Below are 27359 nucleotides of genomic sequence, written 5' to 3' on the forward strand. Positions count from 1 at the left end.
CTCTACTTTTTATGCAAAAAAAAAAAAAAAGTGTACCAGGCCCGGCGTTGCCATGGCAGTCATGGGGCTGCGTGCGGGCCTTCAGTGGATTTGAGCTCTAAACTTGGAAAAAAGTCATAATGCCCTCAAAGAAGCTGGAAGGAGAGAAAGAAAGAGGAGAAAAATAAAACAGGGAAACAGCCTGAGAGGGAGAGATCAGGAGAAAGCAGGGCAAAGCCCCGAAAATACATTCGAGGTGACATCACTGCCTTTCCCACAGAGGCCATTGACTTGGGAGACCGCCCGGCCAGTGGCTGCCCTAAAGCCGGCTCTCCAGGGCCGCGGAGCCTTCGCTCCCTTCCTGAATGCCTTTTTTGTTGGGAAACAGTGGACTGTTTCTGAAGGCCTGCATAAATGACTGAGTAATTCACTGCAGTTGCCAGGAAGTCGGAGCCACTTGTGAGCTAACAATAGTGAACTTTATCTCCCGCCCCATGCTGGAAGTTCCAGCTGTAGGTCCCGAATTCTAATAAGGGCTTTGCTCATGCCTCTGAGGTTATGGTAATATTTTATCCATCTTTCTTCATGAAGACACAGTCGCTGCTGCTATTGACAACCGGAGGCCAGCACTGAGGAGTGACGTGGGCAGGGGGCCAGGGGTGAGGGTGCCTGTGTCGGGGAAGATGGTGAAGAAAATTCAGAGGAAGGAGGAAAGAAAGCGGTGTTCCTATGAGCTCGACATGTTTTCTGTTTAATAGGAGACTCTAAACTGACGTAGAGGAGAGAAGAGAAAGATTTCACTCTGACCCATAAGTGGCTGGAGCGGAAAGATGGCTTCGGACATTTCCCGTGTTTCAGACGCTGCTCCTCCTCCTCCTCCTCCTCCTCAGCAGACGAACCGGCAGCCGAGGCTGATCACGTGCTCAGAATTAGTGTGAGGCTATGAGGTTCCTCTTTGCTCCCCCGTTTGTGGGCAAAGCCGATGTGTATTATTAAGTGATTCTGTATCCAGGTATCAGAGACCCCAATACCTTCTTTACATGATCGTTCTTAGCTAAGGGAAAACTAAGAATTTGCTCACTTCCTGCCTTGTGGGTTCTAAGGACACACCCCAACAAGTTCCTGTGAAGGGGGGCTGGGTCACTGACCCCCTGAGCAACCCCGGAAGGACAATTTCTAGGGCCTGGTTACAGAGATGACAGGTGGCTTAAGAAGTCACTGTGTGCCACGTGCTTTCATGATTATTGTTTCAGTTAATCTGCACGACAACCCTGAGAGATAGTCATATTTTTCCATTTTGGATGTACCCGGCTAGTGTTCATGGTGCCCTGTTGCCTCTGCAGCAGAGCGCCGCATCCTCAGTTACTCAAGTCCCCGTTCAGGTTTCTCATGACCGTGGCTTCTTGTTGAGGGAGAAGTAGAAAAAAATGAGTAAAAAGGGATTGGGGAATCTCGTGGGTGTGGGGGAGGATGGCGCGGGCCTGATTCTCATCTGCCTGCACAGCCTTCCCACGAAAATAAACCAGTGAAACCACCTGTGAGCCACACGTGCAGTTCACAAGATGACAGAGGACACCACAATCTGCAAGATTACTTCAACACAGAGAAGGAGACCAAATTTCAGCTAAGCCCCTGTCACCACCACTGGGAGCTTCTGGGCAAGGGGTCCGCAAGGTTTATGTGACTTTGTGGAAAAAAAAACAAACAAAAACACAGGATGAGGGTGCCTTAGATGAGGCAAAGACCATCTGGCCTCAAAAAGAAAAATCCATTCCTGGATGCTGAAGGACTGGTGATGGATGGCTCAGGCCTTGGTAGTTCAGAGCAACAGCCACCTGGAAGGGACTTTGAACATGAGTCAGGCAGGAAGAGGCAGCCCCAGAGGTGGGCTTCTCCTGGAGAAGATGCACAAAGAAGGAATGGAAACCACCAGGGACATGTCACGAAGGAGAAGGGAGGAACCGAGGGGGACCTACAGAGATGAGAGATGACAGCATAGCAGACCCAGCAAACCATCTCTTTCCCTCCATCATCACTACCACCATCCACCAAGGAAACCAAACCAAAGAAGACAGATGTACCAAAAAGTGCACTCTCATGTTAGAAATCACACCCATGAAATGAACAGGAAGAGAAAATGTGGACCACATTCACAGGAAACTGTAATAAGAAAATAGAAAATGTGAACCAACAGATAGAAGCTGTGAAAAAAAAATCAAGCATGAAACAGAAGAAAATTGTCACAGAAGTATCAAAACTGAATTAAATAGACACAAAAAAGAATTTGAAGATAAGGAAATACTTTAGATCGAAAATTTAAAAATAAAAATAGAGGCAGGAAACAGAACAAAAAAATAAAACAAGAGTTAAGGAAATGCAAGGACAGAAAAGAGAGTAAAATGTTAGAATCTTAAAGGAAATGAAGGCTAAATTACCAAAGATGACCAAAGAAGAATAGACTCAAATAAAAGCTTAATAAGGGTCATGGAAAAATTAAGAAACACAATCAAGAGGATAACATAAAGATATAAAGAAGATGGATAAAAAGAGTGAAAGAGAAAATGGTTGAAATGTTGGAGAAGAAAGATGCAACATTTGTGCTGGTTACTTTTATGTTTCAACTTGGTGAGGCTGTAGAAACCAGTCACTTAAACACTAACCCAGGTTTTGCTGTGAAGGTGTTTTGTAGATGTAGGTTAACATCTATAATCAATTGACTTTAAAGTAAAGAAAGTAACTCTGGATAAGGTGGTGAGCCTCACCTAATCAGTTGAGGAAGTAAGAGAAAAACCTGAGGTTTCCCAGAAAAGAATAAATTGTGCCTCAAGTTTGCAGCATCAACTCTTGGTGAGTTCCCGGCAGTTGGTCTGCTTTGCACATTTTTCTCATGCCAGCGTCACAATCGTGCAATCTACTTCCTTCAAACAAATTTTCATGTATCCTATTGTTTATCTTTTCTCTGGAGAACCCTAATACAATATGTGTATGAGTGTGCATGTGTGTGTGTGTGTGTATGATTGAAATCTCTGAAGAAAAAAAAAACAACGTGGTAGAGCTAATATTTAAAATTATAATTCAAGAAATAAAAAAATAAAACACTGTATTAAAAAATCTGAGTTACATTTAAAGCAGCAATAATAGAAAATTTATGCCCTAGCATCCATGTCAATAAAAATAAAAGAATGAGAAAAAAGACTTGCAATCCTAAGTAAAAAAAAAGAAAGAAAACAACAAAGAAAAACAAAAGATTTAATAATAATAATAGAGAAATGTGATAAAAACAGAAAAAGACTGCATTAAATAACTTTTGAAATAATAATGAACAAAAAACTCTAGGTAATTTAATAAAAAAAAGGGGGCAAAACTTTAAAAAATAAAATATAACAAGGAGTAAAATGACTATCCACTCAGGAAAAAAAAACCTTTAAAAATTTTAGACTACTTTTATGCCAATACATTTATAAAGACTGATGAAGTGGGTAATTTCTGCAGTCAAATGTTTTACCTCTGAGCTATACTGCAAGCTGTGAAGTGGGTAATGTATTAATAAAATATAGTTTACCAAAATTCACCTTAGTAAACTGAAAGCTTGATCAATTTCCATAGAAGACATAGAAAAATATATTAAGCACTGCTCTTTAATAAAACACCATACCAAACAGTTTCAGAGGGGAGTGCTTCGACACCTTTAGAGACTCACTGGCCCCACTACATACCTTGTTTTAAAATATAGAAAATGAAGAGGAACTTTCCAGTTCCTTTTATGAAGAATGGATGACATTGATAGCTGAGCTTAATAAAAACAGCACAACAAAGGAAGTTAGAGATCAATTTCACTATTCATACTGATTTAAAACTGCAAAATAATTCACCATGACCATGAGTAATTTTATATCAGAATTCAAAAACAGTTCAATATTAGGAAATCTTATTAGTATATTTTACCACACAATGAAATCTAAGGAGAAAAATGATATAACTATCTCCAGATATGCAAAAAATAGCCTTTGACAAAATTTAACTTCATTTATAATAGAATCTCTAGAAAAAAGTCAAAATGCAAATCCCTAATATGACAAAATGTATTATTTTCATAAAAGATTAAGAAAGAAAGAAATTATTAAGATTCTGAAATTAGGATTGAGATATGCACATATATATTCCTATATATACATATATTTTATGTAATATTTTTTATATATATCTCTCTCCCAATCCTAATTCCAGAATCATTCCAATTAGGAAACACTAGAAATATTCCAGTTAAGGTTAGAAACAAGGCAAGGATTCCTATTATCATCATGTAACTAGATTACAGAATCGAAGGCAAAATAATTGGTGAAAATAAATAAACTATCTTTTTCAAGTGACATGATAGTATACCTGGAGAATCCCAGAGAATTAATGATAAAACAAACTTAAGTGAAAACATTAAGCAATTAGCAGAATATAAAATTAACATGCAATAATCAATAGCCTTTATATACATAAATAACCAACTAAAAGATAAATAATAAAGTCACAATTACAATAGTAATAAAGGATAAACTACATAGAAGTATAAAAGTATTACTTAAAACCTATCTCAGGAAAACCATAAAACATCCCAGAAAGCCCCAATAGGAGACGATGATGTTTCAGTATTATAAACATAACAATCCTTCCCATGTTAATTTCCAAATATTATGCATTCTCAGTTACACACACACCCACACACTCACGAAGCGAAACAAGTTGATACTCAAGTTCACAAAAAAACCTTGAAAAGGAAGAGGTAGTGTGTGTTAAGACTATAAGGTGGAAGGAGTGTGAGAATTGAGAAATTCCCTATTGGGTACCGTGGCTCATTACCTGGGTGCTGAAATAATCTGTACACTAAACATGCAATTTAACTCTGTAACACGCTTGTGCACATGCCCCCTGAGCCTAAAAGTTGGAAATTAAAATAAGAGATACTCTAAACCTTCTATAATTAAAGCAGCATGGACATATTTCCAAAAGGACGAGCAAATGGCGTAGAACAAATGGTGCGTATGAGTGTAATATGGAGGCACATATCCAATCACTGGGGCAAAAATGGACTTTCACAGAAATAAAATAAGTGATATCAGAGTAACTGGACAGTTATTGAGAAAAGATGAAATTAGATTCATTTCTATCCTTCATGTAAGAAAGGATTTCTAACAATTCAAAATCCAGGTGTCATAAATGAAAAGATTGATGTTTGCTTACATTAAAACAAACTATTTGCATGGAAAAAAGCACCATATACTAGGTCAACAGGCAAATGACGAACTGGGAAAGAGCACAGATGAGGGCTATGTACCTATTATACAAAGAACTTGGGTATATTGGGGAAAAAGGACAAAAAGTCTTATAGAAAAGTGGAACAAGTCATTCATGAATAGAAAATCCACAGAATAGATATTAAAATGGCACTTCCATGTTAAAGAGGTTTAACTTCGCTCATAATAGGAGAAATGCAGCTTAAAACTGTACAGAAGGGTCAGGCCAGGTGGCTCACGCGTGTAATCCCAGCACTTTGGGAGGCCGAGGCGGGTGGATCACGAGGTCAGGAGATCGAGACCATCCTGGCTTACATGGTGAAACCCCGTCTCTACTAAAATACAAAAAAAAATTAGCCGGGCGTGGTGGCGGGCGTCTGTAGTCCCAGCTACTCGGGAGGCTGAGGCAGGAGAATGGCGTGAACCCGGGAGGCGGAGCTTGCGGTGAGCCGAGATCGCACCACTGCACCCCAGCCTGGGCCACAGAGCGAGACCCCGTCTCAAAAACCACCACCACCACCACCGCCAACAACAAAAACTACAGAAGGACCATTTCTCACCCATCCGTTGGGAGAAAATATGGAAGCTTGACAATTCACGCTGCTGACAAAACTGTCTGGTAACATGCACTGCTAGCTGGAATTTAAAATGGTTGGTGCAAAAGTAATTGCGGGTTTTGCCTTTACTTTTAACGTAAAACAGTAATTGCAGTTTTGCCATTACTTTTTTTTTTTTTTTTTTTTTTTTTTTTTTTTTTTTGAGACGGAGTCTCGCTCCGTCGCCCAGGCTGGAGTGCAGTGGCGCGATCTGGGCTCACTGCAAGCTCCGCCTTCCGGGTTCACGCCATTCTCCTGCCTCAGCCTCCCGAGTAGCTGGGACTACAGGTGCCCGCCACCACGCCTGCCTATTGTCATTACGTTTAATGGCGAAAACCACAATTACTTTTGCATCGATCTAATACAATTCCTATGGAGGGGAATTTGGCAGTTCTAAAAACAACTACATATGCATTTGTTCTTCAACCCAGAAATCACACTTCCAGAAATTTACTCTGAAAATATATTTCAAATAATACAAAAAGAAGGCATATGATTATTCACTGCAGCCATATTCACATTATAAAATTTAGCAACTACCTAAATGTCTATACAGTACTCCCTTCTTATGGATGGTTTCATTGTCTGCATTTTCAGTTATCCATGGTCAATAGTGATCCAAAGATATTAAATGGAAAATTCCAGAAATAATCCTTACGTTTTATTTGTGCTCCATTTTGAGTTGCTGATGAAATCATGCACTCTCCTGCTTCGTCCTACCCGGCAGGTGAATTATCCCTTTGTCCAGCGTCTGCACACTGTTTAAGCTACCTGCTAGCCACTTAGTAGCCATCTCTATTATCAGACCGACTGTCGTGGTGTCTCAGTGCTTGTGTTCTAGTAACCCCTATTTTACTTAATAATGGTCCCAAAGCGCAAGAGTAGTGATGCTTGCCAATTCAGACTAGAACGAATCTTCTATCCAGGAAATTGTTAATTGTTATAATTGTTCTGTTTTATAATTATTGTTAATCTCTTCTTGTGCTTAATTTATAAACTAAAGTTTGTCATAGGTATGCATGTATAGGAAAAAACATAGTGTGTATATAATCGGGTACTATCCACGGTTTCAGGCATCCACTGGGAGTCTTGAAATGAATCCCCTGAGGATAAGGGGAGGTACCGTACATAAGAGATGGATTTTATAAACTATGCTATATCTACACAATGGAGTGATGTGAACTGGGAAAAAATGATAGACCTCTAAGAATGGAGAAGGGATTATTTCCTTTTGTTTTGTTAGTGAAAACACAAAGTGTAAGAAAGAAGAGATAATAAGTGACATCAATCTGATGATCTGTGCGAGCATTAAAATGTCACGGGTAAGCCGGAGAACAATGAAGTTTGTTACCTATATTGAGAGGGACAAGTAGGGCTGAAGAGATACAGGAAGAGACTACCTTTTTGTATAGTTGAGATTTGAAGGTATGTTAATATTCTTCGTATTCAAAAAATTAAAATGGAAACAAGAATAATGAGGAAATAGAATTGAAACGGAAGCAAATTAATGCAACTGCTTTTAAGACGAATAACACAATGGTTGGGGAGAAGATAGTCAAGTAACTTATGAATAAAATGTTGACTATATACCTAAACTCTTTTCAATAGTTTACTTTTTGTGGTGGTATAGGCAAATCAATTCTAAAACTGTTTTAGATCTATTATGGGATTGACCAAATAAGTAATTGGATTGATGTTAAACCATGCTTGTTACAGTGAAAAAATCAATAATATGTTTATTCTGTAATATTATGTATGATATGAAGAAAGTATATATTATCTATCTATCTATATCTATCTATTGATCTATCACCTACTGTATGATGGCCTTGCTACCAAAGAATCCAGCAGAAGTATTAATTCATTATAGTCTACATCTTAGGAGCAGAGCAGCTCTGTAGAACTCTACCTGCTGCCTTGAGAAGTACATTGATTTCATCAATTTTACTGATGCTGATTCACTTTTGAATTGAAAGGCTTGATTTGCTGATATGTTTTTAGAATCTTAGACTTTTAGAGATGAAATTTCTTGTTCACTCTTTTCTAAAATGTTGGGAAGGATTATCTGTTCCTGAAAATTTAATAGTAACCAAAGCTTTATGTCTCCATCTACCTGGAATGTCATTGCAGTGTAAAAAAAAAAGACAACCAAGTGTCTCTTTTCAGGATCACTTATGATCCTGAACAGTGGAGAAGTTTCAACCAAGACAAACACCTTCTTTACATTTGGTGCAAGGCTACAACTCTAGAGCAGGACAAAAGACAGAATTAACATGACCATGCTTTAAGAGACATACTTTCAGGATAACTGCAAACTAATCAAGAAGTGATTCTTTAACAGTTAAATCAACTTCAGAAATCCAGGTGAATGAGGAACTGTGAATACATAGCTCTCCACACTCCCTATTGAATTTCAGTGAAGACGGCCAATGTGTGAAACTAAAGAAGGGTTAAACTTTGAAATCCCTTCAGATTGAAGTAGTAACTGATTCATTTCCCTCTCATAAAAATAGAAAGACCAGTGAATAATGACCACACCAAGGGGGAATCCTTTTTCTTTTTCCCTCATCACTTATCTTTCAATGCCCACTCTAGCCCATCACATTTTGAGGCTTTTACTGGTGTGTGTGTGTGTGTGTGTGTGTGTGTGTGTGTGAAATGGCACATGGGTGTTCATGGCATGTGGTCAACAGCACAGAATGGACAGGTGGCTGATGCTCCATCCACAGTATCGTCAGACCCAAGGTCAAATTCCACTCTATCCATAGCGTTTTCTGCAGAATTTCTTTTTCTAAATTGGAGCACTTACCTAACAGAGAGATCCAAATAATTTTTAATTTGGAAATCCCAGCCATGCTTATACATTAACATATATGATGCTTCATACAATGTATGCCCATGACCACATTAGTACATATACCAAAATTTTTCAGAATATGCTGGCCTTTTTGTTACTGCTAATTTTTCTTTTAAATTTGACGCAGATCATCACATCTGTCTTGGAGACTCCTTACACCAATATAAATGAACATATTTATGTTCACTTATTTAACAGCAAGGAATAAAGTTCTTCAGAGTAGAATGGGAAAAAAAAAAAAAACAGTAAAATTTACAAACTCTACCAAGAAGCACATCTTGCTTTGTGTCTCTTGTGGGAGGGATTATTAACAAGAAAATGCTATTAAAATTGGTTGGTTTTACCCACAAGGTAATATTATACTAGCTTTTGTTGTTTTGCTGCTTTATCTATGTTTTTTTCTTCTTGGATAGTCTAGAGTTTTGCCTCCTATTATCAGTTTTTTTTTTTTACTTTCTCCATCTGCTTTCAAGATTTCGTATCTTTTTAGTCTTCTTTTTTGTTTTTAAAGAGCTTGGCTGATTTTCTCTTTTGTTTATCTTTCTGCCTTTGAATTCAGTCATAGAAACTGACTGAGCTTCTATGAGTTCTTACTAATAGCTATGCTAATCATAAAAAAAGTTTAGCATTTTCAATTCTGCTTTCTTCCTCAGGAAAATCTTTCTCTAGAATTACTGATACTATGAGGTTGCAAAAATAGCAGCCTTGGAATATATACGTGTGTGCATGTGTGTGTGCATACACACACAATTTATATACATTTAATCTCTTGGTCTTGGCCTATTTCAGATGATAGTGGACTTAGTACTAAAATGGCCAACAGATAGTCCTTGAAGAAGAAAGAACAGAATTGAGGAAGAGACTCAGAGTGTCATAAACTGGAAATTTGGTTGTTGGCAGTTGATGGAGGCAAGCTCTACAAAGTGGGTTTATCGAATGGAAAAAGGATGAAATGAAGAATAGAGAAAAACTATACGTTATTCTGATTGACTTAAATTTACATGAATGTAGATTCAAAATATTTGTAATTTGTGATCGTCCATAAGTTAGGATAAATTCAGAGCCTCAGCAGAGTTTCAGCACATGAGAAAATATGCTCTCATCTGTTCTGAAAGTGGTTTCGTCTGTGCCCAAGACCATGTGGAGACCAGAACTGAATCACTTGGCCATGGCCTCAGGGTGCAGGACCGTGTGACCTCATTGTGCATTGAGCTGGAATTCCTGACCTGTTGGGGTCTGATCTTAGTCATGTGTTCATCCATTTATCAAATAAGATTACTCAATAGACATCAATTCCATGCCTTTTATGTACCATGCACTTCCTGATTGCAGGCTTGGAAAAGGTGGCAGATCTTAGAGATAATTCAAAAAGTAGAAAAGACAGTGCTTGATAGTTTATTGGATGTGGGAGTGAAGGAGGGGGAAGGCTTGAGGATGACTCTGGCTCACCAGGAGATAAATAGGTGGGTGATGATGCCATGCAGGGAGATGGACACAGCAGAGTGGAGGACATCATGAGTTTGGTTTTCAGCCTGCCAAGTGTGAGATGCTGGTGGTATTTCTAATGGGGAATTCTAGTAGGCGTTTAGACATACTGAGCTGAAGCTCTGCATAGAAAAATAGCAGCCATGAGCAAATAAAGAGTAATTAAAGCCAAAAGTGTGTATACATCTCCAAAAGCAAGAAAAGAAAAGGTTCAGATGAAACCCTCCAGGAAAGCAAAAAAAAAAAATGTTCTCCCTCCTCCCCAGAAAGAAATAAATAGATGGTGAAAGCAAATCCTGTTGATGAAGGTGAGAAAAAAGTAGGAGGACAACCAGGAGATCATGGTGTTCAGGAAAACCAGGGAAGAAGGCATCCAAAGAATAAAAGAGTGGGCAACAGTGCAAAATGTTCTAGAGGGACCAAATAAGTGCAGGCCTGGAAAGGATCACTTGAAGGCCTTGGCTGTCATGGGTGATCTTGTCACAAAGGCAGATCCTGAGGGTCAGGTTCAGAGAGGCAGGAAGTTGGTAAACGGTAATAACTGGACCCAGAAAGCATAAATGACTCTTTTGAGAAGTGTTCCTTCTCAAAAGCAACACTTTTGAGAAGGGTAGCTGTATTAGTCTGTTCTCACGCTGCTAATAAAGACATACCCAAGACGGGGTAATTTATAAAGAAAAGAGGTTTAATTGACTCACAGTTTAGCCCAGCTGAGGAAGCCTCAGGAAACTTATGATCATGGTAGAAGGGGAAGCAAACACATCCTTCTTCACATGGTGGCAGGGAAGAGAAGAATGAGTGCCCAGCAAAGGGGGAAGCCCCTTATAAAACCATCAGCTCTTGTGAGATCTGACTCACTATCATGAGAACAGGATGGGGAAACTGCCCCCATATTTTAATTGTCTCCGCCTGGTCCCTCCCACGATATATGGGAATTACAGGAACTACAATTCAAGACGAGATTTGTGTGGGGAAACAGCCAAACCATATCAGTAGCCAAGCAATATCATATTAATTAGAGGGGATTTTGGAATCCAGGGAGGCTGGAGTTTCTGTTGTTGCGTTTTTTTTTTTTGTTTTTTTGTTTTTTTTTTTCACAGTCATGGAGGCTAGAACTGAAGAAATCAAGGTGTCAGCAGGGTTGTGAAGAAGGACTGGCTCCAGGCCCCTCTCTCTGGCTTGCAGATGACTGTCTTCAGGCTCACATAGCATTCTCCAACTTTCTCCTTTTTTTTTTTTTTTCTTGAGACGGAGTCTCGCTCTGTCACCCAGGCTAGAGTGCAGTGGTATGATCGTGGCTCACTGCAAGCTCTGCCTCTTGGGTTCATGCCATTCTCCTGCCTCAGCTTCCCGAGTAGCTGGGACTGCAGGCGCCCACCACCACGCCCGGCTAATTTTTTGTATTTTTAGCAGAGTCGGGGTTTCACCATGTTAGCCAGGATGGTCTCGATCTCCTGACCTCCTAATCCGCCCGCCTCAGCCTCCCAAAGTGCTGGGATTACAGGCATGAGCCACCGCGCCCGGCCTGTTGCTGCTGTTTTGTTTTCTTGTTTTAGATTTTAGAAAGTGGGCTGAAATCCTTCTGCAGGATGGTCAGCTCCAGAAGCCATGTGTTTTATCCACCAACACATCCTCATCAACCTCAGTGCCTGGCACAGAGCTGGTGGTCAATGAATATTTGTTGTGTGTGTGGATATGCAAATGAACACAAGCAAAGCAGGGCAGATGCATAGGAGAAAGGGGTCACTGATGAACGCTCTAGCATGGTGGGTCCTGGTCTGCTCTACTCTGAGTTGGTCCGTGCTGGTCAGTATGGAAACCTCCAGTTACGTTCTAGTCAAGGAGGCCCTGAGGGAATGTCTTCCAGCCCTGTATTCATTAGGCAGGCATTCACGAGGATGATCTTCAAATAACTGACACTTACTGTTCACTCACTAACACAAATTCCTGCAAGTTGGATTTTAGCTTCCTTTATAGATCTCTTGCTGTTTCATATCCTGCATAAACTTTTATTTTCTACTTTACTTGGATAATGTCCTATATCATTCTGCCCTACCTCTCTTTCTCTAATCAAACTGACATCTGGTCCCTTGTTCTCAATTACTTTACTGTAAAGAGAAAAGTCTCCATGGGCGACACTCCGGGAGTCTAGAAACCGTGGTGAGTTCCTTTGACTCACTCTTGCCCCCTTCTGCTGGTTTCTCTGTACCTGCAGGCCTCTGGGCTGGCCTTGTGCTGTTGCATGGTATGGTTAGGCTCTGAGGCTTTTATAAGCACAGGTTCTTCTAGAATTCAGCCTGTCACATATTTGCAGAGTCTCTGTTGATAGAATTGTAGGAAGGGAAACTTGGAAGTTTAGGCATCTATTTCCTATGGGCTTCTAAGCTCAGCTTTGGACCCCACGCTGGGCCTGATGGTTCCCCACTTTCAACTCTAGGAATCTCTTTCTGGCAGACTTCCTCACAACTCCTGCACACTTCCTGCTCCCTCAACAGGAAGCACTGCAAATGAGCTGTCCTCGCGTTCTTTCCGAGTTTCTGCTTCCCTCTAGAATAAGGAAATGCTATTACGCATAGCAGTTGGAAATTAAACAAAAGGAAATGAGCCTAACCAAACAATAATTATCCATCACATACTCACACACACCACACACGGGGAGGTGGGACTGGGGGTTGCAAACGCACACAGCTTTAATGATCATAAAATAGAACCAGGACTACTTGGACTAAAGTGAGTCCAACTTTTCCAGAAGGCAGTATGATGTAAGAATATAGGCTGTGTGTGAGTCATGCTTTGATAATTCAGCTGAGTGACTTTGGACAAGTTATTTGAACTTTCTGAGTCTCAGATGCCTCATATATTTAACGGAGATACCATATGCTCATTGAAGGGATTAAGTGAACGAACTCCTTAAAAGCTCAGCTCGGTGGCTGGCACATCAGCAAAATGCTTATCATTCAGAATAATAATTATTAATTACCCTACTTTGTCTATAGGAAATGGTGATGCTTTAAGTTTATAGAAAATTTATCCTGAGAATATAAAAGGTCATGCTATTTGAAGCAACACTATAGAGAAGACCATGAAGAACAGAATCTGTGTTGAGTTATTGATCTACACATTATACTGGGGAGTGCAATGGATCGTATCAATAACCGTTTGATTCAACTCAGCATATTTTCAGCAACTTCAAGTATACCATTCTGATAGAATTGAGGGCAAAGGTTTTCTCTCTCTCTAATTTATCCAAATATAAAAAACTCTGGGCTTTTTCCATGCAACACAAACACTGGGGTTTTAAATTACATTTTTCAACTCTGATCTAGATATTTGGCACTGTGTAGACAGAGCCTGGAAACTCCTCAAAGGAGTGCAAAACAAGACAAACAGCTTAGCACGAGGATGGATGTTGTGTTTGTCTAGCGCCTGTGACAATGACACTAATCCAAAGTCCACACCCAAGGGAATGTGCATCAACACACTTGAAAATGTAGCTGCGAGCTGCATCGGTCCTATGTGGAGCTGCTGAGCCAGGGGACATGCTGTAAGCGAGCTCAGCATGACAGGAACGGCAGTCACAAACCCTTATCTTCAGCCGAGTTCACACCCTTGAGAACACCGTGAGCAAGGACAGCTGATGTGAAGCAAGAAGGCTGACGTCACTGTTGAGTGTGGAGCACAAGATGTACATATAGAATAAAAATAACTACTTGCTGGCCTGTTTATTCATGCACCCAAAAGCCCTTCAGACTTGGTTGACATTTCATGCTAAATAACGGTAATGACGAATGGAAGTTCTGCCATTTTCCTGTCATTTTTGTTTTGTTCTTCCTCTTTCCCTCTCATTTCCCCTTCCCCATTTTTAAAGCTCTGAATAACAGCCAGACATAAAAAGCCAACTTGAGGCTCATCGGGGTGATCTGCGTCAGTCATCCCCCACCCCTGGACTGTGTGAACGCAGAGGCCGACTCTCTGAGTGAGGCTTCCAGGTGCTGCAAAACGCTCCATTCATAGGGACACTGAGTGTAAAAAGAAAGCTGCCCATGGGTAAAAGGAACACAAAACACAATGAGAGAGTGATCGTTCTCAGAGTGACACTGGGGCCTCTGCGGGAAAGCTAGGCAACACAGTGCAGATGAAAGAAAGGCAGAAAAAACATTTTGGCCAGAGCAGATGCGAAACCGTTAGAGTGAAAAGAACAGGCTCGCTCTTGACTCGCTGGGGCAGATCTCGCCGCAGGGCAGCAGGCGGTGCTGGTCCAGATACTCTGGGGAGTCTGCGCGGTGTGCCCGGAGCCCCTGGGCGAACACGGGGCACGTTGCTGAGAAGCAGTATTTTGTGTCTCTCATTCATTCCCAGTTAATCTCTTAAGTTTTCTTCAGCAACAGAACTTATTTGTAATGCCATGTGCTCTATTGTCTCTTGGGGATAAATAATTAATTTCTACTAGGCTACACCTTGGCTTTAAAATAATTCGTGAAAATCTCAAGGGAAGTCATCAATTTAGAGAGGAAATCAAAATTGGGAAACTTGATTAACCTTATTTCAGGGAGTGTGGGATCATATGAACAAACTGCATAATTTTTTGTAACTTTTGAAACTCTCTTTTTCTATATTCCTTCATTGCTATCTAAGCATGCTGCGTACATATTTTTATCTCTAATATACTTACATTTCTATGTGTGTATTAATTTCACAGATTTGATTCCTATGTTGTTGTCTATTATTTACATATGTATACATTCATACTCTAACTCAGTTTGGTAGACCTGAAAAATAAGCCCAGTATGCTTTAACTAGAACATGAGATGGTCAACAAACAAGTCCTATATTCATTCCAATTCCTTCCTTCTCCTGTGGTCCCAGACCCCCTTCACCCCCAGCCTGGACCACTGCAATGGCCTCCTACGGGCTCCTGCTCAGTCCACGTGCCCCCTGCTCCCTGGTCTCCACACACAGCTACAGTGGTGTTTAAAAAAATGTCACAAATCATGACATTCCCTTACTTTAAACCTCCAATGAAAGGAAACCTACGGATCAAAAGAGACTTATGCCAAATACCCACTAGTTGTAATATATGAACTTTATTAAGATCCTGATTCAAGCAAACTGAAGCAAAAATTATACACACATCAACCTTTAAACACTGACACAATATTGGATCATGTTAATTTGTTGTTCTTAAAATATTCTTCAATGTTCCCGCGTGATACATGCAGAATTATTTATGGGTGAAATGAAACCATATTTGGAGTTTGCATTAAAATCTGGGTGGGCTGGGGAGGACTGGGTGGGATGTGGATGAAAGAGGAGGTTCAGGAGTGGTTGATTGTGGGAGCTTGGCAATGCCTCTTGGTTACTTGTGGTACCATTCGATATACCTTCGAGTATGTTTAGCATCAATTGTGTTTTTAAAACCAGAAATATATGACAAAACAGAGCCCTCCGCAGACTTACAACTGAACTTTGGCTCATCCCAGGCCTGCGGACTGGACTCTCTCCTCCACCTGCAGGCTCCTCTCCTCCACCTGTAGGCTCCCCTCCTCCACCTGCAGGTCCCTCTCCTCCACCTGCAGGCCCCCCTTCTCCACCTGCAGGCCCCCCTTCTCTACCTGCAGGCCCCCCTCCTCCACCTGCAGGCCACCCTCCTCCATCTGCAGCCCCCCTCCTCCATCTGCAGCCCCCCTCCTCCACCTGCAGGACCCCCTCCTCCACCTGCAGGCCACCCTCCTCCATCTGCAGCCCCCCTCCTCCACCTGCAGGCCCCCTCCTCCACCTGCAGGCCCCCCTCCTCCACATGCAGGGTCCCCTCCTCCACCTGGAGGCCCCCCTCCTCCACATGCAGGTCCCCCTCCTCCACATGCAGGCTCCCCTCCTCCACCTGCAGGCTCCCCTCCTCCACCTGCAGGCCCCCCTCCTCCACCTGCAGGTCCCCCTCCTCCACCTGCAGGCTCCCCTCCTCCACCTGCAGGCTCCCCTCCTCCACCTGCAGGCTCCCCTCCTCCACCTGCAGGCTCCCCTCCTCCACCTGCAGGTCCCTCTTCTCCACCTGCAGGCTCCCCTCCTCCACCTGCAGGCTCCTCTCCTCCACCTGCAGGCTCCTCTCCTCCACCTGCAGGCTCTTCTCCTCCACCTGCAGGCTCCTCTCCTCCACCTGCAGGCTCCTCTCCTCCACCTGCAGGCTCTTCTTCTCCACCTGCAGGCTCCCCTCCTCCACCTGCAGGCTCTTCTCCTCCACCTGCAGGCTCCCCTCCTCCACCTGCAGGCTCCCCTCCTCCACCTGCAGGCTCTTCTCCTCCACATGCAGGCTCTCCTGCACCCCAGGTCACTACCTTGGTTTCCTTGGGTTCCTCCAGCACTTGCTGCACATCCTGGCCAGGAGTCTCAGTATCTGTTCTTCCCTCAGCCAGGTCCTTCACATCACTGGGGCCTCAAGTCAAAGGCCATCTCCCAAGACGCTTTCCCTGGGAAGTCACCAGGTTTTGTCTCTAGCTGCCCTGCTTTGTCCCCTTCCTATGCATTGTTTTTTTTTTTTTTCTGGTTTATGACAGCCTTCCTGCAGAGGACAATGGCTCCTGGGCAGCTGCGACCTGCCCTGAATTTCCATTCCTTTACCCCAGAATCTACTATAAAATAGAGCCTGGTGCATTCAATAAATATTTGTTGAATGAATAAATAAATGTTATAATCCCCAGTGACAAAGCAAAATCCATTATTATGTGTGTTAAATCTTTCCTTTTCTATGTTTTCAGAATTAGATTGATAGGAACAGAAAGAAAGGGTTGATTGTTTTCTTATACTCCTTCTCTCTTGCTCTCTCTCTCTCTCTCTGAAAATTACAACGGGAGAAAAAAATAAGAGGAAACTAAATGTGCACTGTTTCTTCTAAGAACATACTCCAATTAGTGGCAATACTGTGAAAAGTAGGCAAATGGAGAAAAATTCTTTCCTCCCCCTAAACAATCTTCCACTTTTCCCACTTTTCTCTCTCCTTGATTCTCTGTGTAAGGAGCTGGTATAACCATGATTCAGAAAACTCCAACCCAGCTGCAAATGAACTAATCATTTGTTAGGAAATAGACCTTAAATAATGAAAATAGACTTTCCCCCTTCCAACTTCAAAAGTATTTCACTGTTTTTCTCTTCTTCTTCCAACTCCATAATCCTCTGCTCCAGCAATGGCCCCTCCCCCTCCTCCCCAGGTGGTCTCTTTGTATTAATGCAGGGTCATAGCGAAGCAGTTGCTTCTGATATTCTACCAAATTCCATTAAAAATGAAACATATATGTTACTCCGATTTTATGTCTTGTCAGTCAGAAGCATGGGACACATTTTGCCGAAGGGGAAAGAGCCATGGAAGCCAAGGGGTTAAACTCATTTTTAATTTGCCCACAGATGGATGCACCCAGCTTTTCCTTTATCTGAGAAGCCTACATCCATAGGACTGCAATAACAAATATCCAGGAAGCTGCATTCACTGTGAAATTTAACAAAGGGAATTAGCCACAGTATGTGAACAGTAACTTTAAATAGCAGAAGCGACAAAGAGAACTGTGGCTGATAAATGAAAACTAGTAATTACAATATTAGTACCCTTTCCACATTAAGTTTCTAAGCCACATTAAAAGGTTGCTCACAATTCCACTTTTCCTTTCTCTCATCAAAATAGAGCAAAATAAAATATAATAGAGACAAATTGCCAGCATAAAATATTCTTACACATAATGCAATTTCTAACTGTAACAATTAATTTTAAAATATTTTTTAAAAACTTAAAAATATTTTTATAAAGATTATTTTACCAGGCCAGCCCCAAGGGAAGACGCGAAACAAACCTCATTTTTCTCAGCCTTCATCCAGGAGGAATGGACTGTAGACTTTCTCTTTAATATTTAATCTAAACTTTATTAATTTTTTTTAAAATAAAAAGATTCTGTGTCTAATTTATGCTCACCTCCAGGACTGCTCTAAAGCATGGCTCATGTGATGTAAGGCCTACATAAAAGGCCGTATTATCTGGAGCTTTCTTTATTATCATTTTAGTTTAGCCATATTTTTCTTTCTTAGCTTTAAAAAGCATTGATCTGAAACAAGCCCTCGCACTGAAACCGTCTACACTGCAAGAACGCTATGGAAAGGAAAGCAGAAAAATAGCAGGGCTTCTATTCTCTGAAGACCCATCACCAGGAGCTGCAGGCTACCATCATTCCACTTCCCACCATTCAGCTGATGAGAAAGTGAAAAGCGTGCCCCAAGAATGGTTTTCCATATCAACAGCCTTCAGAATGAGATGCACTGGGCCTGTCTCATCTAGTCCTCTGTAGTTGATTCTTCTCACCTGATGAACTGTTTTCATTCTTGGCTGAACATTTTAAGAAGGCCAAAAATAGACACATGGGTATCCTAGCATAATAAGTGAAATGAAAACCAATAGGAAGCTGCAGATGCTTAGAAAACTAATCACTTAATGGACACATAGTGGACCTTTAATCCTTTGAAGGCCTGTCAAGGAGATGAAGTAGACTTATTCTGTGTGATTCTAGAAGGGTAGAACTAAGATCAACAGGTGGAAGTTGCATGATGAAATATTATAACCCAACATAAGAATTTTCTCGCAATTAGACTCGTTTAAAAAATAAATCGATCTCCTTGCAAAGTAGGCAACTCCTGATCCCTGGCAGGGCCCCAGAGTCATGGACTGATGCCACTGTCCGGTGTACTACTGACTACTGAAAAGTTTGGTGCCTTACCATGTGGCAGAGATTGCTACTTGTCCACAGAAATTCAGCCTTTCCCAACCACAGAAAACACTTGTCCCTAAGAAATGGCTGCTGAGCTGGCGACCCCACTTCTCAGCCTCGTTTCCATACCTCTGGGGTCTTGTGAGACGTTCTCACCATGAGAATGTGAGCAGAAGCCATATTGTCATATCTAAGCCATAGTTGTTAGGGAGCCGGTGGCCATCTTCACCCTCTCCTCCTCCATCTGCGGTTTGGATGCTGACGACTTGGAGTCACAGGAAGGAAGGAGGCTCAGGCCTTGAAAGCTGCTCATAGACCAAGAACACGTGCACTAGATGGATATATAAGCCAGAGTTAAGCCAGTGTAATCTGGGGATTTATTTATTTTTTACAGCAGCCACCATTATCCTAATAATGTCTTCTTCCAAATGTAAAGAGAGTGTTGATTCTCAGTAAATATGTGTTATTTCTGAAATTTATGAATTACATAGGAATTCTAGAAATTTCTCTCTTCAGGCATTGCCACTAGGACAAATGGTCAGGAATCTGACTTGTTTTAGTCCTAGTTAAGAGCCCCTGTCGTGGATAGTCTAAGCCAAACCTTCCCAAACAGCTAAAATGGAAGCTGTAATTCAGCAGGCACATAGTTCCTTACTTCACACGCCCTCTGAGTCATTTTTAGACCTTGGGCACCATATAGACCTTGAGCAGCTTGGGGGACACTGGATCTTGAATTGTTTCCTAATTACTTTAATTTTTATTGAAAAAAAATGGGGCCACAGGCAACAAAAGGGATCCTAATTGGGACTAGGATGGTAATTCCGCTATTGGGCGAGAGACAAGTATATTAACCAGAAACCAAGACTCTTCCTGAAGGACAACTGAGAACATTTGCCTCCTCAGACTTGCCAAGGCATGACAGGTGTGGTCTGTGAAACTGGGTTTCTTCCATGCGCACCTCATTCTTTTTTTCCTTTTTAAAGGACATTTAATTTCCATGTAACTGTGACGGCTGGAGTCACCCTTAGCACCAAAACAGCACGGGTGGTGAAGGTGCCACCTCAATTAAACATTCATATCTTTATACCATGCTCTGTGGCCATTAGGAATTATGTATTGAAATTGTTTGGGTTGAAAATATGGGTCATCTTTTGTAGAGCAGGGGGCCTGAGGCAACAAGAGGTTAATCCTTTGTCAGGGGCTGTGTCAACCCACGGCAAAACCTGGTTCAGAAGCCGACGTGTTTATTTCCCTTTGCCGCACTCAGTTGGACTCAGAGAATGTTACTGCTAAAAGATCAAACCTTTATCTCAAGCCAGATTCCTGCAGCGGGAGGGGAGGGGATGAACAACCAGCTTGTTTTTCTGTTGTGTGCTTAGTCTAATCTATACATTCACACGGATCCGTATTTAGAACATGTCTGGTAATAGATTTTTACGTCCAGAATAGCATATGCAGTTCTTTATGAAGATACCGAGAAGGAGCAGGGATATTTTTCCTCCGAGTTCTTATCAGGGGCTCTAGTTCTCGCTGTTCCTCTGGATCAGGTGGGGAAGAACCTGGCTGCTGTGGAAGTTGATGCTGTCTGTCAGGGATGCAAAGCGTTGGAGTCTTTCTCATGGTTGCCGGGCGGGGTTTGGCGGGGAGGCGGTCTGTCATCGGCAGGCAGAAGTAGAACTCGTTTGGGGCCGTGGTGAGTCGATGCTGTCGATTTGGTTTTGAGTTGAGGTTTAGTTTTTCTTTGACTACATAGATGGCTATCCTGGATCATGAAGCCTTCAGAAGTGGAGTCGGCACTTTTCCCTTATGGGAAGCGTGAGTGGTGCAGGGGCTGAGGAGCTGAACTCTGTGACCCCTGGGGTCCTTCTTGTGCTAACATTCTGCGAGCTAGGACTCCAAACTGCACTCATCATGCTGCCCCGGCCAGAGGCACTGCTAATTTCGATGAGTATAATTAAAAGATTCCCTCCATTGAGAGCCGCCTGCTTCTTGGAGAAGCCCAGCACTGGAGCTTTGTGATTCTCCAGTGGCCGGCCCAGGTGTGGCAAAATTATTAAGCCAACGTCACCAACTACCCTGCTGCCACCACGTGGGTCTCTCACCTAAATACCTACCTCCACTTCTTTGAGAACGGCCCTGGTGGTTCTGGCGGCCCGTGGGGCCCCTCCCTGGGTGCTCGGCCACGTGTGGCTCTGTGTGGCTGCCCTGCATCGGGGCTGCGGGGTCCAGGAGGAGTCGGTGCCTCCGGACATGTCCCTCTCCGCTGTGTCTGAGGATGCTGCAGGGGTGGCTGTGCTGTGTGTGAACGTGCAAACGTGCGACTACAGCTGTTGTGGGGGCTCCTCAGTCCTTCCTCGGATCTGGGGGCCCTAAGACATGTGGACACCCGTGCCCCTGGCTCCCTCTAGTGGTGCGTGGACCCCATCCTGAATTTTGCTTCCTAAGCCCTGGTGTGGCTGAGGTCTGGAGTCTCTCTTAAGTTCCAGGGGCCCTGGGAGCATCCTGACAGGTACCAGTGTCTTATCCCAAAGGCACCGTGCACCAGGGAGGCCTGCAAGCCCTGGAGAAGGGGTTTTGCTCTTCTCTGCCTTCAGGTTCAATTTCCTGCCAGTGCCCTGACCCCAGGCTTCTGCCTTGAAGACTGCATTTGGGGTTTCTTGGCTTTGCTGGCCTGCCTGGCAGCCCAAGGTAAAGGGGCAGACAACTCCTGCACCGGGGCTGGAGCCGCACCGGAGCACCCCCACCCCCAGCTCTTGTCTTTCATGTCCCAGAAATTGTTTTGCAAATTTTCATCCCTACAATTCTCAAACGACCCTGAGAAACACCACCACCACCGATGAAATAAACCGAAACAGCAACCACAGTCTCAAAATTGAAGAAGGCATATCGGGGCATTTGACTGACCTGACTTTTGCTGAGAATTACGAATTCCTTCATTTTACATTTTTGCTTAAATTCTATTTCTGTAATCAAAGAAATAGGGATTTTCTGATATTTCTAAAACAGCACTTACGGGTTGTTTGTTAGGTTAAGTGGACTCGCACCTGGGAAGGAGCACAGTGGGGTGGCTAAGAGCGTGAGCTGTTGATCTAGTCTACCTGCGCTCAGGGGCTGGCCCTGCTGTTGACTTCTCATGTGGTTCTCAGCAAGTTATTAAACATGTGCTCCTCAGTGTCTTCATCTGAAAAATGTACCTGCCTGAGATCTCCTGGGAGGGTTAACTGAGATATTACCTGGAACTGCCATTACCTGACATTCAATAAATGTTAGCTATTATTATTAGAATGAAGACAGCACCCAAAAACGTACACTTCCGTGAACTCTTGCTTCAACATGTTTGTGCTTCAAGATCTCGCCAAAGTCAAACTAATTTGGCTTTGGAGATTTAGAAAAAGGTGGTGTGGTCTTGCTGGGACCTGATTCGCCAAGCACCAACTCACCGTGTGTTTGTGGCTGATGCAATGGCTGGAAATAAGAGGCTGTAGAGAACTGAATGCCTGCAGAGTGGAGTCATGGGATGGACTTTATTTGTAGACGGCTGATTAAATTCTGACCCAAGTTAACTTGGGATGGCTTTTAAGTGGCCTGTGTGGATGCATTTTGGGCTCAAGCCCAGCTCTTAGAGAACAGGTGTCCACCAAGAATGTTGGCACTGGTCTTGGAAGCTTTTGTGGGAGACAAAGCCTGGGATTAATCCAAGGGTCCTTAGATCCCCCACCTTGGGGAAAGGCCCACTGGGCAGTGGTCTCAGACCTAAAAGTGGGGACACTGGCTATAAATGGTGGGGTGGAGAAAAACACACAATGATGGTTTCCAAAGCTTGTCAGTTGCCAATGTTTTAGAAAAGTAAAATGTAATGGTGAGGAGCTGGGGAGTCAATGCTTCCAATAGTAGTGGTGACACTGAATTTGGTGCTTGTGATGACATGTTGAATATTCAGCTCACCCGTCAAACCACATCTCTTGAAGCCTGAAGTCCCAGGGATCAGAGCTGATAAGTCTGAGCAGCTTTCCTGAGTCACTCAGTCCTGGGACCCAGCAGCGAGCACATGTTTCCCGTTGCCTGTCCTGACCCTCGCTTCTGTTGGGACCTATACCTGCTTTATCACTGAATGCTGAGATGACATATTTTTCCCATGTTGTAAACACACCAACATGTATTTTTCCAGGAGCCTAATTGTAAAGAGCAGTCAGACTTGGAGGAAATGGTTACTAAATTTGTCTGAATCGGAAATGCACCTCCTTTAGTGGATATGAGATGGAACGTCGCAGTTGCTTCCTAAAGGTCTCCTTTTCATCATCCTCCTGACCTTTTATAAAAGAAAGAAGCAAAGAGAAGAATGAAAAATGCACGAGTCACTGTTTTACTTCTTTCAACTCCCATCGCTGATGTTGACATGGACCAACAGAGATTTGAAATAAAGCCAGTGTAGCGGGAGGAGTGGTGAACTCCAGAATTTTGGGACTAATCCCCACCATCAAAGGCTGGGCTGTGTGGTACAAGAAAAGCAGGATGTCAGTGAGAATCCGGCATTGATCTCCCCCGTCTACAAACATGAATCAAGACGAAGTTTGCCCCTGCACCCCACCTCACCCTCCCTCTCAACAGGGCCATGCACTTGCTTCTCCTTCCAGAGGAGGGGCGTCCCCGTGCTGCTGGAAGAAGCACTTGGAACACTTTCTCTTTTGCTTCTCTTTTTTTGGGAGGTTGTTGTTTTTGTGGTTGCCATTGACTTCGAGTGTGGCTGGGGGTGAGTTGCCCAATAGTTGTGGTACGTCTCAGACACTCTGTCACCCAAATATGGAACTGTGGCAGCAGAAACACCTTATGAAAATAGCATGAAAATGTGTAATGTGCCATAAATAAACAGAAAGAGACCGCCAGGAAGCTGTGCTAATCACCGCTTTGATGTCGCCTGAATTACTGTATTTTTTAAGGGCCTCGTGTTTCTGCTTGTTTGTTGCGACTCAGCTGCCACTGCTCTATGAAAGGTTGGATCCAGTTTTCCAGCTCTTCTCCCCTTTGCAGTGACAGCTGTTGTCCCTTGACTCATAGGAAAGCGATTTCTCCACCCTTCCCTGACTCCCAGCCCTTTCCTGGCAGGACTCCTGCGAACCTTACTCTTCGTCCCTGCCCTGAGGTGGCCGAGGGTGAGGACGGCCGCTTGGCCTGAGTCCATGCGCTCCCAAAGTTCCTGTGTCATTTGCCAGCCGGTCCCAGGACTCTGCAGCAACGTCCTATTTTTAATCTCTGGTAACCTGGCCTTCTCTTATTTGGCCATGTCATGTCGGGAAATGGAAGTTTGGCTTGACTTATGTAGCAAAGAGCTTGTAGGAGCACAAGCCCCTCGCTGAGCAGAGCTTGCAGGAAGAAAGCCCCAGATCCTTCAGTTTTGGGTTGCCAGGGCTTTCTGGCTTTGCCTACACCTGGCAGTCACTCAAAAAAAGTCCCAATCCTGAATTGCTTCTCATAAGTCTACATGTTCTTAGGTTTGATAAGAGCTCAAGGCTGCTCTCCTTGATTTTAAGATTCTATGATGTCACAAAGCGCAGGTGAATGCCAGACACTGTTTCCTTTCTGTAACTACCCAGGTAACCACTTGCACAAGTGACCTGTGGGCAGCCCTGGTGCAAGTTCCGTCCATGCCCGGGGCAATCCCGGCTCCACTGCTGGGTCCAGGAACGCCCTCTTGTGGTTGGAAGAGCTTTGACCGACTTTATTTTTTTTAAAAAAGAATTACATTATTAAACATTTTCTCAATTTTTGTGTTTTATCTAGTCTTGGGAGTGAAAAATGCTAGTTTTTAGTTGAGGATAAGTAGGGGGGAGAGAAATTAGAGGTAGTTTTACCATCATCATCATTGCTGTATTCAAGCCCCAGTCCACCGAGCTTGTCCTTCCAGCCTGGACATTGAAGACGTCTCTTTAATGGTCTCTTTGCCTTCTGGATTCTGTGCCCTCACCTGCGTCAAAATTAAACTAAATTTTCTTGAAACACTTTGTTTGTTTTTGTCCCTGCTTTGTTCAGAAAATGTGAAAAGCTGCCCTCTGGATAATTTAAAGGCTGAACCCTTCATAGGCTCTAGGTTCTTCTAGAGTCTTCGTAAACCCAGTTCGTCCTCTCCCAGGAGCGTCTCTGTCCATCTCACCACGAGGTCCTCATCGTGGCCCTTTGTGGAGGCTTCCACTTTAATCCCTCGAAGTTTGCAATTCATGTGTTTTTGCATCTTTTATCTTATGAAAACAATGATCTATCTCCCTATCTAGATGATCGCTCATGGGAAGGGGCCAACTCTTCACTTTTTCTTCCTCTTTGGTTCATATCAACGGCAGCAGCAATGGTGATAATGATACATGTGGCTCTTTCACTACCCACCAGGCACTGGAGAAACTCTGTGTGAGCATCAGTTTACCTAATCTCACAGAACACTGTGGCGTCCACATTATTAGTCCCATGTGACAGCTGGAGCAGCAGAGGTGTAGACAGGTCCTGGAGGTTGTCCTGGTTGTAAGTGAGTAGGAGAGGAGGCCAGTGCGGCATGCAGGACTGCGCTCCTGACCGTGTTGTCTGTCTTACAAAAGACCCTGTGATATGAGTTTGTTTCGACAGTCATAATCGCAAACATAACGATGAAACGTTAAAGTTGTCTGCTTTCAGACACGAATATAGAAAAAGATTTGGAAAAATAAAGCTTATTTAAAAATATTATACATTATTGAATATACAAGAAAATATATGACAAATGCAAATTAAGTTCTATCTCTCTGATGCACTCTCGTGGGTAGATAAATGATCATTACATCTTACGAAGCTGCTGCCTCTGAGTGGCAGAGAGCCCAACCAAAGGGGCTTCAACAGCAAGGAAACTGGCCACCCTCACTTGGTGGGCTTTGGGATTTACTCAACTGACAGCTCCATCTCCAACAGCATGCGGCGCTCGGGCCCATCTTTCCACTGGTGGCTGCTGGCGAACTAAGATGTAGGTTTGAGACCCACGTTTGGGCAGACAATGTTGAGAGGAGGAGCAGACAGTGGCTCGCAGAAGCTCTTCCAGAGCAGCTGGAAAAGACCTTCTCAGGATTCTCCAGTGGAGCTCACCCTTGTCCCCACCTATCCTCAAGAACCCCGCACAGTCGGGCTTAAATAGGGATGTTTAAAGAGGGTTCCCTCAATGGCAGCAACAACTGGGACACTGCTAAAAAGGAGGGAGGGAGGTTTGCGGTACAGGGATGACACTCCTGGCGTGGCATGTTAGAACTCAGGGTATGCTTTTGTTTCTTCACTTGTGTTTCTCACTTGGCCTTCTTCACTTGGGATGAATGTACTGTGGGATGGCAAGTTCACATTTCTCTCTCTGTAAGAGAAAGAGTTGGTATCTCACTTCAGAGGGACTACCAGTGTGTAAGAAGTCAGCCGGAAGCCATGCACGGGGCCCAGCCAGCATCAGCTCCTTTCTGCCTGTTTCTGACTCCTGACTGCACCCCTCTCCTTCGTCATGGAGCCAGACCATGCCTGTTGAGCACTTGCCCTGTGTCTCTGTTCTAAGTGTGGGGACACAGTGGCAAGACAGACTGGCCAGGTGCTCACTCTCAGCTCAGCTGTGGAGCTGGGGAGCTCACAGCTCAGAGAGGGAAAAGGGCTGTGGACTAAAGAACAAAAGGGTCACTATGAATGGTGGTGTTCAGACTTACACATTTCAAGATGGCTCCAGGAGAGCATCAAATCAAGCTCAGGGCCCTTCTGAGTGTGGGCCTCATGCAGCTGTGTTGACTTTGCACCCGTGGCAACACCTCTGGTCAGGACACCTGTCCAAGGAGGTGACATTTGGATTAGATCATAGTGAGAGCTGGGATAGAACATTCCAGCAAAGTCCTAGTGGGGTGAGCATCCTGACTTGTGAAGGACCCAGTGAGAAGGGGCAGCTAGGGCAGGTGGTGCAAGTAAGAGCAGAAGAGGGGGCAGGTGCCTGGGATGGTGGGGGCTTTGGGGTGCTTCCCCAGGTTCAACACCACATGGTTCAGGATGACAGCTGCATGGATTGTATTCTCTGCTGATGGGGGGCTGATATGGTTTGCTGTGTCCCCACCAAATCTCATCTGGAATTGTAGTTCCCATAATCCCCATGTGTCATGGGAGGGACTCTGTGGAAGGTAATTGAATCATGGGGGCTGTTACCCCCATGCTGCTATTCTCGTGATAGTAAGTCAGTTCTCACGAGATCTGATGGTTTTATAAGGGGCTTTCCTCCCCTTTGCTCAGCACTTCTCCTTCCCGCCACCATGTGAAGAAAGTTGTGTTTGTTTCCCCTTCAGCCATGATTGTGAGGCCTCCCAGCCATGTGGAACCATGAATCCTTTAAACCTCTTTTTCTTTATAAATTACCCAGTCTGGGGTATGTCTTTATTAGCAGCATGAG

At 43.4% G+C, this 27359-nt stretch overlaps 1 long non-coding RNA gene across 1 annotated transcript, besides 1 other annotated feature; it reads left to right on the forward strand.

Annotated features, from left to right (window-relative positions):
* Positions 1–669: 669 nt before the first annotated feature.
* On the forward strand, positions 670–1670 carry LOC105378106 (uncharacterized). The gene is made up of 2 exons (XR_943218.4): positions 670–991; positions 1484–1670. It is a non-coding gene; the product is annotated as an uncharacterized LOC105378106 (long non-coding RNA).
* Positions 22788–23082: an enhancer, noted in NCBI's record as "tiled region #12678; K562 Activating DNase matched - State 6:EnhF". NCBI's record gives its function as "activates a minimal TATA promoter and a strong SV40 promoter by Sharpr-MPRA in K562 cells {active_cell/tissue: K562}" and the evidence as "EXISTENCE:reporter gene assay evidence [ECO:0000049][PMID:27701403]".

The sequence above is a fragment of the Homo sapiens genome, chromosome 6, assembly GCF_000001405.40.
Source record: "Homo sapiens chromosome 6, GRCh38.p14 Primary Assembly".
Classification (NCBI taxonomy): domain Eukaryota; kingdom Metazoa; phylum Chordata; class Mammalia; order Primates; family Hominidae; genus Homo; species Homo sapiens.